Source organism: Homo sapiens, chromosome 1 (assembly GCF_000001405.40).
Source record: "Homo sapiens chromosome 1, GRCh38.p14 Primary Assembly".
Classification (NCBI taxonomy): Eukaryota; Metazoa; Chordata; class Mammalia; order Primates; family Hominidae; genus Homo; species Homo sapiens.
Window position 1 is genome coordinate 156,824,260 of NC_000001.11, and position 15,435 is coordinate 156,839,694.

The 15,435-nt window shown below is 49.6% G+C and overlaps 1 protein-coding gene across 1 annotated transcript in view, besides 4 other annotated features; it reads left to right on the forward strand.

The window, feature by feature from the left end:
* Nucleotides 1-15,435, forward strand: part of NTRK1 (neurotrophic receptor tyrosine kinase 1) — a 66,101-nt gene that overhangs the window by 8,510 nt on the left and 42,156 nt on the right. The gene's annotated exons all lie outside the window — the stretch shown is intronic.
* Nucleotides 11,746-11,815: an enhancer, noted in NCBI's record as "active region_1882". NCBI's record gives its function as "activates an Ori minimal core promoter by ATAC-STARR-seq in GM12878 lymphoblastoid cells {active_cell/tissue: GM12878}" and the evidence as "EXISTENCE:reporter gene assay evidence [ECO:0000049][PMID:35858748]".
* Nucleotides 11,856-12,015: an enhancer, noted in NCBI's record as "active region_1883". NCBI's record gives its function as "activates an Ori minimal core promoter by ATAC-STARR-seq in GM12878 lymphoblastoid cells {active_cell/tissue: GM12878}" and the evidence as "EXISTENCE:reporter gene assay evidence [ECO:0000049][PMID:35858748]".
* Nucleotides 12,236-12,325: an enhancer, noted in NCBI's record as "active region_1884". NCBI's record gives its function as "activates an Ori minimal core promoter by ATAC-STARR-seq in GM12878 lymphoblastoid cells {active_cell/tissue: GM12878}" and the evidence as "EXISTENCE:reporter gene assay evidence [ECO:0000049][PMID:35858748]".
* Nucleotides 14,509-15,009: an enhancer, noted in NCBI's record as "H3K4me1 hESC enhancer chr1:156808560-156809060 (GRCh37/hg19 assembly coordinates)". NCBI's record gives its function as "activates a minimal SCP1, AML or CMV promoter by ChIP-STARR-seq in naive H9 embryonic stem cells {active_cell/tissue: H9 hESC(naive)}" and the evidence as "EXISTENCE:reporter gene assay evidence [ECO:0000049][PMID:30033119]".

Below are 15,435 nucleotides of genomic sequence, written 5' to 3' on the forward strand. Positions count from 1 at the left end.
TGGCAGGGTTCTCCTTTACTGTTGTCCTTCAGACACCTCCCGAGTGGAGCCACAGTGCTGTTAGCACCAGCATATCATCCTGGCACATTTATCAGTTGGTTATATGGACCCTCTACCCACCCCTGCCCAGAGGACATACATGTGGATTGAAGAAGCAGTAAAATAGAGGCAGGTGATTTGGGAGTCTGGGCCACCACCTGCTCATGCAATTTACTTATGTGTTCTGAACCAGCTTGCGCCTGGTTTGAATGTATCCCTCCCATCACCTAATGGATTACTGCCTTGGACGTCCAACCTTATGACCCATCATTCAGCTTAGGATGGCCATCTCAGGCTGAATGGTCACTTGGTGCCCATTGGTCAGGCACTTAGTCTCTGCTAGGGCTCAAGAGCATACTAAAACTATTTTTCAGAGTGTAATTCTTTGTCAGAAAGAGCATGACATGTTTGTCAGAGATGACATGGCAGGGTTGTTCTGGAACCCTAGGGTGTGTGCTGCAGTTCTCCCTAGGAGCTCACCAAAGACTCCATCCTTTATCCACCATGGTGATTCCAACACCACTGGACATGCTGGGTTACACGGCCCAGGAGGCAGAGCAGCTTGTGCCACAGCCTGAACGGCGGTAGGGACCTTCCTTTCTTTTTTTTGAGACAGAGTTTCTCTCTTGTCACCCAGGCTGGAGTACAATGGCGCCTCTCAGCTCACTGCAACCTCCGCCTCCCAGGTTCAAGCGATTCTCCTGCCTCAGCCTCCCAAGTAGCTGGGATTACAGGCATGCGCCACCACGCCCGGCTAATTTTGTATTTTTAGTAGAGACGGGGTTTTGCCATGTTGGTCAGGCTGGTCTCAAACTCCCGACCTCAGGTGATCCGCCCGCCTCAGCCTCCCAAAGTGGTGGGATTACAGGCATGAGCCACTGCACCTGGCCCAGTAGGGACCTCTCTTATCCTGGGACTCACTTGAATTGGCTGCTTGAATTCTGGGTCACCCAATAACTAGGTTGAACGAGATTCTCAAGTGCAGCATATCTTGCCTCCAAAATCCAAAGAGGCCAAATAAATGCCTTGCCTTTTTCTTAGTGCTAGGAAGTGCAGGGTGCAACATCTTGTCCTTTATAGCAAGCTCTAGGATGGGGCTTTTGGAAAGAATATGGTGATCAAGGGAATCCGAGGAGATCTGTGTCCAATATAGCAAGAATAATATGCACGGTGGATCATACAGATAGAGTTATTCACTTTTTTATTCCTACTGTCTGCTTTCAGGGAACAAAACTGATGAGTTTTAGGTTTTACCATCCTGCCCTTTGTGTCCAAACCTTAACAATGGCCCCATCATTACCTTGTATATTCAGTTATTATGTGACAAATAACTGCCAAGGCCTAGCCTTGCCTTATTTGAGGATTACCTGGTGCCATTTTACAAGTGAGAAAACTGAGATCATAGTCAAGAGACTTAGCTTCTGTCACACAATAAGAACATTAATCTGAACCTGGGGCTTCCAATTTGGAACTTGTAGGCCATGGGGGTGGAGAGAGATATGCCGTCATGTCCAGCTTGCCATGAGCAAACACTGTGCTAAGTGCTTTACCGGTCTGAACTCACCTGCCCTTATAACCGGCCCATGAAGTGGGTGCTATTATTATTCTCCCCACTTTACAGACAGGGAGTCTGAGACTTGGGGAGGTTAAATGACTTGCCCAGGGCCACACAGAAAGGAAGTGGGGATTAGAACCAGATGGTCTGGTTTCAGATTTTGGGATCTCAATCACTAGCCAGTATAGCTGCCAAAGAGTTAAGGACGCAGCCCCCCACAGATGGGTGGGCACTGCCAACTGCTTTTCCACAGAATGAGTTCATGTTAAAGACACCTGAGGAGAAAGGAAAAGGAGCAGGACTTTCCAAAGCCTCAAACTATTACTAGAGCAAAAGAGCTCTGTATGGAATTGCCCTGAGAAGACCCTTTTCAAACTTTTTTTGGTTTGTTGTTTTAAGAGCTGGGGTTTTGCTACGTTGTCCAGGCTAGACTTGAGCTCTTTTTTTTTTTTTTTTTTTTTTTCTGAGATGGAGTCTGGCTCTGTCACCCAGGCTGGAGTGCAGTGGCGTGATCTCGGCTCACTGCAAGCTCTGCCTCCCGGGTTCACGCCATTCTCCTGCCTCAGCCTCCCGAGTAGCTGGGACTACAGGTGTCCACCACTGTGCCCGGCTAATTTTTTGTATTTTTTAGTAGAGACAGGGTTTCACCTTGGTCTTGATCTCCTGACCTCGTGATCCGCCCGCCTCGGCCTCCCAAAGTGCTGGGATTACAGGCATGAGCCACTGTGCCCGGCTGATCTCTAAGTAGTTGAGGCTAGAGGCACACACCACCACATCCAGTTCAGTTTCAAGCTTTAAGAAACCAGAATCCAGGATGTTTTTCTAACCACCAGCCCAAACCCTATCCTTGCAGGAATGTATGCTTTGCAGCCTTTTAAACCCAAAACATGGACTCATTTGCAGAATCATAGTATCTTTTTGCAAGTAGTTTTTCTTTCAGCAGAATGTGCTTTGCCAACATCATGAGCAATCATAACATACTCCCACAACACTACTGAAAGGAGCAGTGGGATATCTTAGATTTCACATAATGCCTTTTCTCTGAACAGTTTTAGGCATTTGTAGAGCCAAAGCATTACTTTATAGTTACTCTTCCTGTATCTATTTAGTAAACACGGATTCTATGCCTACAGTTCACCAAACATGCAAAAGTAAATAAAAACTCAGCTCCTTGTTTTGGAGCTCACTTCTGGGGGAAAAGAAATAATCATTGCATATTAACTTTTTCTTTATTTCTTTATTTTTTTGAGACAGGATCTCTCTCTGTCACTCAGGCTGGAGTACAGTGGCACAATCACATTTCACTGTAGCCTTGAACCCCCAGGTGCAAGCAATCCTCCACTTCAGCTTCCCAAATAGCCGGGACCACAGGTGCATGCCACCACACCCAATTAATTTTTATTTTTTTATTTTTTTATTTTTTTTTGAGACAGAGTCTCACTCTGTCACCCAGGCTGGAGTGCAGTGGTGCTATCTTGGCTCACTGTAACCTCCACCTCCCAGGTTCTAAGGGATTCTTTTGCCTCAGCCTCCCAAGTAGCTGGGATTACAGGCGTGCGCCACCATGCCTGGCTAATTTTGTATTTTTAGTAGAGACGGGGTTTCACCATGTTGGCAAGCCTAGTCTCGAACTCTTGACCTCAGGTGATCCATACACCTCGGCCTCCCCAAATGCTGAGATTACACGTGTGAACCACTGCACCTGGCCTATTTTTAAATTTTTTTGTAGAGATGAGTCTCCCTATGTTTCCCAGGCTGGTCTTGAACTCCTGGGCTCAGTTGATCCTCCTGCTTCAGTCTTCCAAAATGCTGGGATTAAAGGCACGAGCCACTCTGCCTGGCTGCATATTAGTGCCTCTTACTGCTAATTGAAAAATTAGGTAACAAAAGAAGTGAAATAGAAGTGAGAGACTATGAACCTGAAATGGTCAGCTTCTGGCCCTGACTTCAACAGCTACTTTTCTTCCGTGGGTCTGCCATGTGTCTGGCTGTTTCTAAATCAGGCTTTATTATAGAATTAGTGTATGAATTTATAATGAGCCAGGCCTGGTAAAATCATCCCTTGTTCTTATGAAGGTATGAAAAAAACTTATTTCACAAAATGTTATATAGTATATTAATATATCCTTTTTTTTATTTTTAGAAATGGGGGTCTCACTATGTTGCCCAGGCTGGTCTCAAACTCCTGGGCTGAAGCAATCCTCCTGCCTCAGGCTCCCAAAGTGTTGGGATTCCAGGCATGAGCCACCACATCCAGCCTATAATATATCCAATGTTTGAAAATTATAAGGCCATTTGCAATTGTAATATTATTACTGATATTGATAAATTAGATCATTTGCTTGGTTTTTAATATATTATAGAAGGCTCAAAGATCAGCTGATTTACTTGAATAGACAATAAATCAATGGCAGAAGTGATAGGTTTCGAGTTTATTTTCTTCATTTGTTTCCACTCTGAGGTGGTAACCGTGTCTTATTTATGTTGAATTCTCAGTGCCTGGTAAAATGCTGGCATGCAGGAGATGCTGAGTAACTATGTATTGACATTTTGAGGAAAAAAAAAGCAAAGAAAGGAAGAAAAGGAAGGTTTAGAGGATAACAGCCCTTCCAGGGAGAGGCAGCTCGTGCTGACTCCTCTTCCACGCTCCCTGCTGGGCTGCCTCCCAGGCTGTCTCCATGCTTCTCCTCACGCGCAGTCGCGGGTCGGCCTCTGTGTGTGGCAGATGATTCTTCACTCACACGCCTGTGTTTGCCACAGGCACCCGCGTGGACGAGGATGATGAGGAAGAAGGAGCTGTGGTTTACCCTTCAGTATACGGGTGACTGTGAAGCAATGGAAGGAGAGTGGTGGGGGTCAGGGTCTTTTTGAGTCTCTGCTCCACCACCAGAAAGGCTGTGTGGCTTGTGGCAAATCCCGGAAGCCCTCTGAGCCTCATTTTCCCCATACGTAAAATGGGAATAACCCAGACTAAGTCATTGTACGTAGGAAATGACCAGTGACTCAGTGCATTGCTTTGTCAACTGTAAAAGGCTGCTGCTGTCAGGCCGGAATTATTATCATTGTTCTATTTATTATACCCTTAGAGGAGCAATAAAAAGTGGAAGTCCATCCAGGAAGCTCATTCAACAGAGTGGAGCCCTCCTTTGATGTAGCTGGCAGTGCCAGGCCCTGGGGACATAGCAGCAAACAAGATGTGCGCAGCCTTGCTCTCTGGGAGCCTTTATTCTGGCGGGGGAGAGAGAAATAAATTTATGAACAAATAGGAAAAGTGATTTCAGCTCACGATAGGAGTGAATAGGAGGTATGAGGATGACAGTGTAGGGTGTTAGATGTAGAGTAGGTGACGCTTTTGGAAGGCCTCTCCATGAGGTGACAGGTGAGAAGGAGCCAGCCATTCAAGGTCTAGGGAGAGTGTCTCAACAGGGGACAGTGGGTGCCACCACCTAGAGCACACAGCACAGCCACAGAACAAGGCTCCCCGTATCCCTCATCCCCCCTTTTCAGTTCTGGGGTGGGGCAGAGCAGGACTGAAGATGGGGAGGAACTAAAAAGGCAGTGGGGAGGGCTGTGGAGTGTCTGCACAGGTCCCTCCAGCCCAGAAGTCTGCCTCCCCAGCCCAGGTTCTGCAGAGAGTTCCAGAGTCCTGGCCACCCTCAGGATCCTGCCTTTTTGACAGGGAGGCCCTTGGGGATAGACTGTCTCTCGTTGGGCCCAGCTCTGGGTAGGATGACACTATAAGGAGGAGGACTGCTCGCGCTCAAGTATCCACCCCCCAGACTCAAACCAGTTGTCTTTTTCTTTTTTCTTTTTTTTTGAGACAGAGTCTTGCTCTGTCACCCAGGCTGGAGTGCAGTGGCACGATCTCGGCTCACGCAACCTCCGCCTCCTGGGTTCTAAGGGATTCTCCTACCTCAGCCTCCTGAGTAGCTGGGATTACAGGTGCCTGCCACCGCATCCGGCGAATTTTGTATTTTTAGTAGAGATGGGGGTTTCACCACGTTGGCCAGGCTGGTCTTGAACTCCTGACCTCAGGTGATCCTCCAGCCTTGGCCTCCCAAAGTGCTGGGATTACAGGCATGAGCCACTACGCTTGGCCCAGTTGTCTTTTTCTATTTGAAAAGGGCCAAACAAGGAGAGCAGTGAGTCTGATTGTTAGCATTCAATCACCTGATTGCCATTCTCTCCCAAGCCCGCTGTCTAAGCATTGCTCTCCACGCAGTGGGGCAGTCTCAGCACAGCCCGTCTGTGGCTCCGCTCTGCAAGGCCTGAACGCTGCTTTGCACAGCCCACTTCTGGAAACCGTGCTTACCACTTTGATACACATTGTGATCACTGCAATAGAAGTGTTTTCACCTTAAAAATGGAATCAGTTACTCTGTGTGTGGAAGCCTGGGCCCAGGCCAGCAGCTCTGTCAAACAGAGGGGGCTGTCTTGGACTTTGGAACAGCTGAGCCCTCCATGACAGTGCTGTCTACATGCAGCCCAGGTTACGAGACTGCCAGGAATCTCTGGTGTGCCTCGACATTTCACTGGGATAGAGGTAGCTGGGAAATAGCCTCTCTTATTATATCTTCACCCCTCCTCCACCCTTGTGCCCAGGTGAACCTGGGCAAGTTTCTTGATCTCTCCAAGCTTCAGTTGCTGTCTGGTAAACGGGGGAAGAACACCTTTCTAGAAGAGAGGTTGTGGGATTCTTTTTTTTTTTTTTTTTTTTTTTTGAGACAGAGTCTCGCTCTGTTACCCAGGCTGGAGTGAAGTGGCGTGATCTCTGCTCACTGCAACCTCCGCCTCCAGTTCAAGTGATTCTCTTGCCTCAACCTCCTGAGTAGCTGGGATTACAGGCATGAACCACCACGTCTGGCCAATTTTTGTACTTTTAGTAGAGATGGGGTTTTGCCATGTTGGCCAGGCTGGTCTCGAACTCCTGACCTCAGGTGATCCGGCCACCTCGGCCTCCCAAAGTGCTGGGATTATAGACGTGGGCCACCACGCCCAGCAAGGTTCTGGGATTCTATCAGCAAATGGATGTGCCAGCCATCAGAGGCTTGGGTATTTTCTTACCTTCTTTTCTACCAGCCCCCAGAATCCTGAAGGGAGCATTTAGCAACCTTCTTGTTCTTGCTGACTAGGGCTGAGGGTCAGACCTCAGGTCTACCCTCTGGCTTTATCTCTCCCTTCAACCCTGCATGCTGCTGGGCCCTGAAAGGGCTCCCAAATGTCATCCTCTCTCCTCAAGGGGCTTACGTCCTAGAGAGGAGGGGAGGAAACTCAAGAGAGTGCAGTCTGGGGGCATCTGGGCTGGGCCTTGAGAGCTAAGTAGAATCCCGTTAAGAAGTCATGGGTGGAGAGAGTGTCCTGAGCATAGGGAAGGGCTTGGGCAAGGATGTGGAGGCGGGATGGTCATTTGGAGCTGTGGCAGGAGCACGCTGGGTCAGATCAGCTTGCCCTTCCCACTTCTCTACTTCTCGCTCCTGCTGTGTGTACTTTGCTGCCAGAAGTTTCCTGAGGCTGAATTTGATGTTAGACTGAATTGCAATGAACCTGCTGGGGCAGTGGTGACAGGAGGGCAGGGGATGGAGCCCCGCAGCAGCTGTAGTTCTGTGTCAGGTGACCATGTGTCCAGATGGTGCTGGGTCAGAGCTGGCAGTGCTTGGAGGGGGTGGACAGGGATGGTGAAGAGAATGAGAGAGCCTGGGAATCTGGAGAGACTGGCAGAGATAGTGCTTGGCTACTTGAGAGCCAAGTTCCAGGACTGCTTGGAAGTCATCAGGGAGGGAAACTGCTTGGTATCCTGGTGGTCTCAAGGATGCCAAGAGATACCCTAGAGAACCCAAGGAGGCTCCAGATGTTCTGAGGGACCCATGAAGCTGAAGGTATCACAGGAACTAGAGGATGTGAGGGTTAGGGCAGAAAGATGTTAGAGGGAATTGAGGATCTCATAGACTCTGAGTGCTGGAACTAGAGGGCTAGAAGGGATGGGAGATTGAAGGGTTTCCCTCTTCCCTCCTCCATCGTGGCTGAGTATAGACTTGGTGGCTGAGGAGGAGTCATGGCAGTCAGGCCTCCAGACTTCCTAGTGTAGCCCCAGGGACTGAGGTCCTCACATGTCCCAGCATCATCCCTGACCACCTGAGGGAAGAGGCAGCTGGTCCAGCTGATGCTTTGGCTCAGGGATCATGTGTCCTGAGGTACATGGTGGATTTTCCATTTGACGGGCGACTTCACCTGAGGATTGGAGAAGTAAATTACCAATAACTTTGCTGGAGCAAATGAAACTTAACTAGTTTTAGTTAAGTATGTTGAACCAAGATTCAGTTCAGGTCTGGCTCTCAAGGTAGTATTTTCTTTCCCTTCTGTACTCTCTGCCCCTAGTTGGTTTGTTGTCATTAATTCATCAAGCATCTATTTGAAGCCTAGAATGTGCTGGAGTTTGTTATGGTTTCAAGGGATACAAAGACAAATGAGACATGAGGGCAAGAAAGATACATAGGCAAACAATCCAGGTCATTCAGAGTTTAACTCTGAAGCAAGGATTTGGGAGAAGGGGTATAAGAAGGAGTGGTCTATTCTGCCTAGGATGAGATTGCAAGGGGAAGAGAAATCAGTAAGGGCTTCAGAGAGGAGGCAGCAGTTGAAAGAGCTGATTTAAAGGGGAGTAGGTGATTCTCAAGATATATGGGAAGGGAGAGGTGGAGGAGAGTGGAGGATGCTGAGTCGCAGGAGCAAAGTGAATGAGGGCATGCAGGCTTAGAGCTGCAAAGCCCTCTGGAGGATGGTATGGGTGTGAAGGGGCAGGAGGCTCGAGAGATGAAGCCTAGAGATAGGCCTGCCTGCGAGCTTTGTGCTTACCTCATTGGCACTGGGGAGCCATTGAAGGATTTTCAGCAGGGAAGCATCGAGATCCGAGTTTCATCATCCTCATTCCTTCATTTATGGTGCTCTTGTAGCATTTGGTTCTTACACAGCTGCATGAGGGTTTGCCATGGTGTACTGCAATTGTTTGTCTACATGTCTTCTCTCCCAGCAGACAGCATGCCCCTCAGGGCAGGGGCTTGTTATTGCCCATCTTTGTGACTTCTTCACCCACTGCAGGACCTACTATGAGTGGGTATTCAGCACATCGCTTCTTGCTAAACACATTTTGGTGCTGGGGCCATACAGACACCATCCTGCTCATAAGGACTTATGCCCACCCATCTCCAAAGCCCTCTTGGCCCAGAGTGGTACACCAAGTAGGCAGCATGATATAGTGGAAAATAGGTGTACAGATCTGACTTTGAATCCCAGCTCCGCCATTTATTAGTTGTGGGACTTTGAGCAAGTTATTTGACTTCTGTAAGGCTCACTTTCCTCATCTGTAAAATGTCAGCAATAGTGTGAGCTTACCAGATTGTTTTTTGTGTTAAAGTGTATGTCAAGGCTGGGCGTGGTGGCTCATGCCTGTAATCCCAGCACTTTGGGAGGCCGAGGCGGGCAGATCACCTGAGGTCAGGAGTTCGAGACCAGTCTGTCCAACATGGTGAAACCCCATCTCTACTAAAAATACCAAAATTAGCTGGGCATGGTGGCATACCCCTATAATCCCAGCTACTCGGGAGGCTGAGGCAGGAGAATTGCTTGACCCTGGGAGGTGGAGGTTGCAGTGAGCTGAAATCGCACCACTGCACTCCAGCCTGGGCGATAAGAGCGAGACTCCGTCTCAAAAAATAAACAAAAAAAAGGTGTATGTCAAGTGTAGACATGTGGTAGGTGCTCAATATATTTTAGGTATAAGAAAAATAATAACTACCATGATGCTGGTCATTTGCTTGTTTCTTGGCTCTAAACCCTCCCTTCTATACTCTGCTCTGTGAGGCTGGGGCTGAAACTCTGCCAACCACACTTCCCAGACTCCTTTGCCCGTTCTGTTAGGTTCTGCCAGTAGCAGGTGCTGCAGGGAGACAGGGGAGGACTCACTTCTTTCTGTTTGTTTCCTTTCAGTGTTGCTGGGGTACCAGCTGGGCAGCACCACCTCCTCCTCTGAGGGACTCCACCTCTATAGGGTCCCTTTCTTGCATTTTTAGATTCTCACAACCTCAACTCGCCTCTTTGTTCCCCCAGCCTAGGGGAGTTAGCTTCTTCCTGCAGATATCTCTGTGTTACTTAGTGTTCTCTTTTTGCTTCTCAACCCTTTCACACCAGTAAAGTCAATCCCTTATATTCAATTATCTCTCTGTGGAAATACCTAGAGTGGTTTCTGTTTTCCTAAGGGGACGCCTAACACTCACACCATAGCTGTGTATGGTAGTAGGTATTAAATGCCCTGTGGGTGGTATAGAGATCAGAAAGGGCATCACGGGGAAGCCACAGAGACCAAGGATGCAGAGGAGGGAATGGGGACAGATGTGAAGGCCAGTCTCAGAAGATGCAAGTCCCAGGCTTGGTGGTGGGTGACACAGTACAAGCTGGCAGATAGGGAAGAGTCTAGACTGATTGAAACATGGGCTTTGTATTAGGCTGGGGCATATCATGATGCTGGAAAGGCAGGTTGCAGCTAGAAGTAGAAGGCTTAAATGCCACAGCCTGGGGACAGGGAAGATGCAATTTAGAACTATAGACAGAGACCGAAGGCCAAGAGAGGAAAATGCAGCTGTATTCTCAGTCTTCGAGGCAGAGTGGGGTGGTGGATGTGGGCTGGACCTCCAGTAACTGGCTGTGTGATCTTAGGCGAGTCATTTTGCTTCTCAGATCATTGATGCTGCCCTCTCTAAAGTAGATTTTAAAACATCTAATTTGGAAATAGAAAACTCTTTGCCACTATAAAGAGTTACTTATGTTAAATGTTATTCTGACAGCATTCCAGCCTGGGTGATAGAGACCCTGTTTCAAGAAGAAAAAAAAAGAAACAGAACAAAAACTATTCTGGGTAGGTGGGGAGGAGTGGCTCTGGGGGAGGAGATTCAGGAATGGGCCGGGGAGACGGGGGGTTGTATTTTCAGGCTGGGAAAGAAAGGAGAGTGGGAGCCCAGTGAGGAAGAATTTGGGGAAGGCCTCAAGGGGTGTGATGGTCCACACTTCGACTGGGAGGAAAGGGTGAGCAGAGAATGAGGGAAGGAATGGAAAAAGGAGACACGTCTAGGTGATGGGCATGGAATGTGTGAGAAATGGGAGGGTGTGGGAACCCAGACTTGGGAGTTTGAGCCACTATAGGCAGAGGCCGACCACACAGGGTTGGGAGGGGAAGGTGCCCTCACTTTTTATAGCCCCAAAATCCTGTAAACAGAGAGCTATTGGCCTCCCTTGGGGTAAGCCTAGGGTTGCTAGGAATCTCTGAGAAGTGTCTGCTTTTCTCTACTTCCCACCTGTTTTATGTCTCCTGGGATGGAAGACACGGTAGGGCTACAAAAACATGCTGCCAATCCTGAATTCAATAAAATGGACTTTGTCCCAGCCTAAAACATGGAGGAAAAAAATGTCCTTGGAGAGTATGTATGTGACAGAGCCCGCGATACACACCCAGGTAGCGAGGGGACAGAGCAGGGCGCCTATAAGGCTCTGTGCACTCATCCTGAGCCCAGACCTCTGGGCAGGAAGCCTCGTTCTTTTAAAAGCAAACTGCTTGTTTTTCCCTGCATGAATAATGTATGTTCTTTAAAAATCACAAAGAGAAAATACAGATAAGCAAAAAGAAGATATAAATCATCCACAACTCATCACCCAGATGCATATTTATGCTTCCAGATATTTTTTCTGAATTTGTACATGGAAATGTAAAAAATGGCATCATTTATATTATCTGTAACCTGCTCTTTTCACTCCATAGTTCATCCTGGCCATCTTTCCATGTCACTAAATGTACTTCTGCAGTATCTTTGTAAATGATATCACAACCAGATAACAACGACAATAATTTGTATAGTGCTTTATAGCTTACAAAGCACTGGGCATCCATTATCTTATTTCAGCTCTTGGCCTTCCAGCATTAAGGTCTCTCCCCTAGGAAATTCTGCTTCCAAAAGAGGTACCCCTGCCTCCTTCACACCTGTGCCTCCCATGCCCCAGAAGTTGCCGCCATCTAGGGAGGGTTGCTAGCCAGGCCCCTTCTCCCTCTCCGTTTCTTGTCTGAACCTGCTGACAACTTCTGTCCTTTTTGTCTCATTTTCTTGAGACTCCCTTTTCATAGTCTCAGAATTTCCTCCTGGCTGCCACCCTTGTCTTCTCTGCTTCATCTGTCCTCCCCTTTCTCCTCCTGCGTGTCTGTCAGCCCCCCTCCTCCTGTCCAGTTCTGCTTAAGACACAGGATGACACACCTGGGAGGCTGGGAGCCAGAGTGGGCCCTCAGGATGGGACCCGTCTCATCTCCAGAAATGACTGAGCAGAAAGTCCCCCTGTTGTTCACAAGTGGGGAGAGTTGGGGGCCACACCCACAGACATCAAAGGGACAGGGCTGGGTAAAAAGTCCCGGGGTGTCCTCAGAGCTTCCACAGCTGTGCATAGGGACGTTTCTGAGTTGCTGTCTCCCTACCGCTGCCTCTCTCTTCCACACCCTGCTCTATTTCTTTCTCTCCTCATGACCTACCTGGCATCCCCATTCTTTCTTGTCCTCCCTCTGACATCTAGAGGCCTTGGTGATTGACAGCTACCTCCCTCTGTGTGGAAGGACAGGGTAGGGAGAGAGGCAAGAAGGAATGCCCTCTGTCCTTGAACCAGCCTCACTTTTTGGTCCTGGAACTTCAGTCCTATCTTCACCCTGTGAGTGCCTCCCTTATGCCCCTCCCTCCTCCCTCCTCTTTCATGGTGGGAGTGCTGAAGGTGAGGAGAGGCTGGACTCTGCCTGCAACTCTGGGCCTGCTAAGTCGGGGAGGCCAAACCATTCAGATGTGCTGCCTTCACAGGGCTGAATGAGGAGCATATTTCACAGGACTGAATGAGGAGCATATTTCACAGGACTGAATGAGGAGCATATTTCACAGGGCTGAATGAGGAGCATATTTCACAGGGCTGAATGAGGAGCATATCTAAGCTGGAGCTGGACAAGCTATGCAATTAGCCAAGATCCTGGGCAGGAGTCTAGATCTCCTGGCTTTGGAAAAGGGCAGATATTTCAGAGTTAGGGAAATCCAGATATCCACGCCCAGTGGTCACCCCACCCCTCGCCACACCCACTCTGAACACTTAACCCATGGCCCATCAGGCCACTTTTCAACAGCAAGGACATCAGAACTCTGAGCCATGTGGCCCCTTTAAAGAGCCTTGCCTCAGCCAGGCATCAGCTGCAGCTGAGGAATTGATCTCCAGCTCCTATCTCACCAAGTGCCCTTCCCATCTGACCGTGCATCTGGAGCTCGCCAAGCACCTTGTGCTCCAACTGTGTACCAGGGACTCACCAGGTACCTTCTGCACTATATGCCCAGGGCTCCCCAAGCACCCTTCACTTCAGCTTTGCATCCAGGGTCCAGGGGCTCACCAAGTATCATCTGCTCTAAACCCATCCCCAGCTCCGCCCACCTGGATTCCTTATTTGGCACACATTCAAGAGGATGCTACATTCCCCACTCTCTCCAGCAGTGGATGGTGCCACCCTAGTGATCACTTACTAGTGGGCCCTTGGCCGAGTAACCCAGAGGGGCTCAATTTCATGGTGGATGACCAGGAGATGAGCCAGGTGGTTCAAGCTCTCTGCCTCCTGTGCAAAGAAAGGGGGTGGACAGGGAGTGTCAGTACTTTGTCAATCGACCTCACAGGGCTTGGAGGAGACCAAAACTTCAGTCCTAACCCTGGGAGCAGGTGGTGTTGGCCTGAGGAGTTATGCATGGGAGCCTCTGGCTGGAAGCAGGAAGACCTTCACTGTGGGTTGGTGGTCACATACTAACATCCCCCTTGTTCTTAGCCCTCAACAGAAAGTGCGAGAAGATGCCAAACAGCTCATGGACCAGGGGAGGAGCTTCCACAGTGCGTCCACACTGGGCCAAGGGCAAGGTCCAAAGTGTCTACTCCAGGACTGCCCCTTGGTTGGACATCTAAGACCTGGTACTCTTCCATCCAAGCTCCCTGGGACTTGGAGCTTGGTATTATGGGGCGGGATAAAACACGTTGGTATGAGCAGGTGTCGGAAGCTGAGCTCTCATGTCCTTGTACCCCATTCTTCTTCCTACTTGGTGACAGCCAGGAACCACTCTCTGCTCCGTAGCCAGAGCCTAGAGGAAGAATAACTGTGAGCCTAGAGGAAGAGGAACCTCATCCTGCTGCCACCGAGGCCTGGCTTAGTGGCACAGCTCACTTGACTTCGGACCATTTCCACCTCCTCCCCCAGGCCTCTGGGCCTCTCTCCCCAGAGAACTCCAACCTGTTCTCCCAGCCCCCACAAAGATGCATCAGTTGTTCCTGAGCTTAGAGGGGGTAGGGTATGAGATCCATAGTCCCCAGCACCCATTCTCGGGTGGAAGACCTGCCACAAGGCCACAGGGACAGTTTTGAGGGATGGATGGTAAACATTCCCTTCTTTTATGCTCACCTGTCTTCTCCCAGCCAGCTACAGGCTTTTTTTTTTTTCTGGAGTTCTGTCTGAATCTGGGGAAGAGGAGGGGGACCAAGACGGGTGTTTCTGTATTTCAGTCGCTGCATTTACTGTTCTGCCTCTGTGGTAGGTGTTCATCCTTCCTTCTCCAGGTCAACCTGTTGTCTGTCTGCAACTGTCTCTCAGGAGACATATTTTCCCTCTCCAAAGCTTCCCTGTAGCATTGGGAAGTCCCTCCTGAAGTCCAACCTCCATCTATCTTGCTACCTAGTTAAATCCACTTCTTTTCTAGGACTTGGACAGCAATAGAGCTTATTTCCTAGCATCCCTACATTCTTCCCCCAGAAGTACTTCTGGGCCAGACACCACCTGCCCATCTTTGCAGGTGCAGCCGCGATGGCATATTTCTGAAGCCCTCTTTTCTTCGACTTCCAATCCCTTCCTTAAGCTCTTCCACATCCAGACAATCGGCACTGTGAGGGTTAGGGGGCATAGGTAGTGGGGAGAGGGGTTGACCCCACTGCTGCCCTGCAGGCGTGTGCAAATGCAGGCATGCCTGTGTGCTCTGTGTGAGTGTGCAGGTCTCAGAGCCAGGGCTTGCGTGGAGTCTCTCTACCCTTTCACCCTCCTGGAGGCCTCTCAGAGACCCAGCAACAGAAGGCAGGGAAGCCCAAACTCCCCAACTTTTTCCCTTAGCTGCGGTTCTGCTGGTAACCATTAGGGGTCACTGTTGCTTCAGTCACCAATGCAGGGCAGGGGAGGGGTGGGGCTCCACACAGGTGGTCCTTGCTGCCCACCCTGGCCCTGTGGGGATAACAGGGTAGTTGTTGTCATAGAGACGGCCTCACGCAGACTCGTGCCCACTCCACTCTGGTGTGAGGGAGCTGTGGTTTGCAGGACAACTGCTGGCGGGCGTGAGCAAGGGTGCACAGAAAGTCTCATCTCGCCAGACCCAGAGTGTGTGGCATGTGTGTGGCATGGCAGCTATGCCCCAAGCCCCTGGGGGCAGGAAGCTAAAGAGTTCTGAGCCTTGGGCAGCCCCTCCCGCTGCCACCCCCTTCGTCAAGGTTTGAAGTCATTCTTTTGCAACCCTTCCCTTTCAAATGCCCTCATGGCACTGGCAGAAAAGCCTGGGAGCTGGCTCTCCTGTGCAACATCCACATGCCTCAATGGTGTCTCTACACGTGCGATGAACACTGAGATTCTGGCCTCCCAGGATAACCACAGGGTGCCAGACACACAGACCCTGCTCTGCTGTGTGTTCCCTGGCTTGGGTGGGGGCATCTGGCATGAACAGGTGATGTCATCAGGGCCTCTCCCTTGCCCCATGTCTGCCCACTTA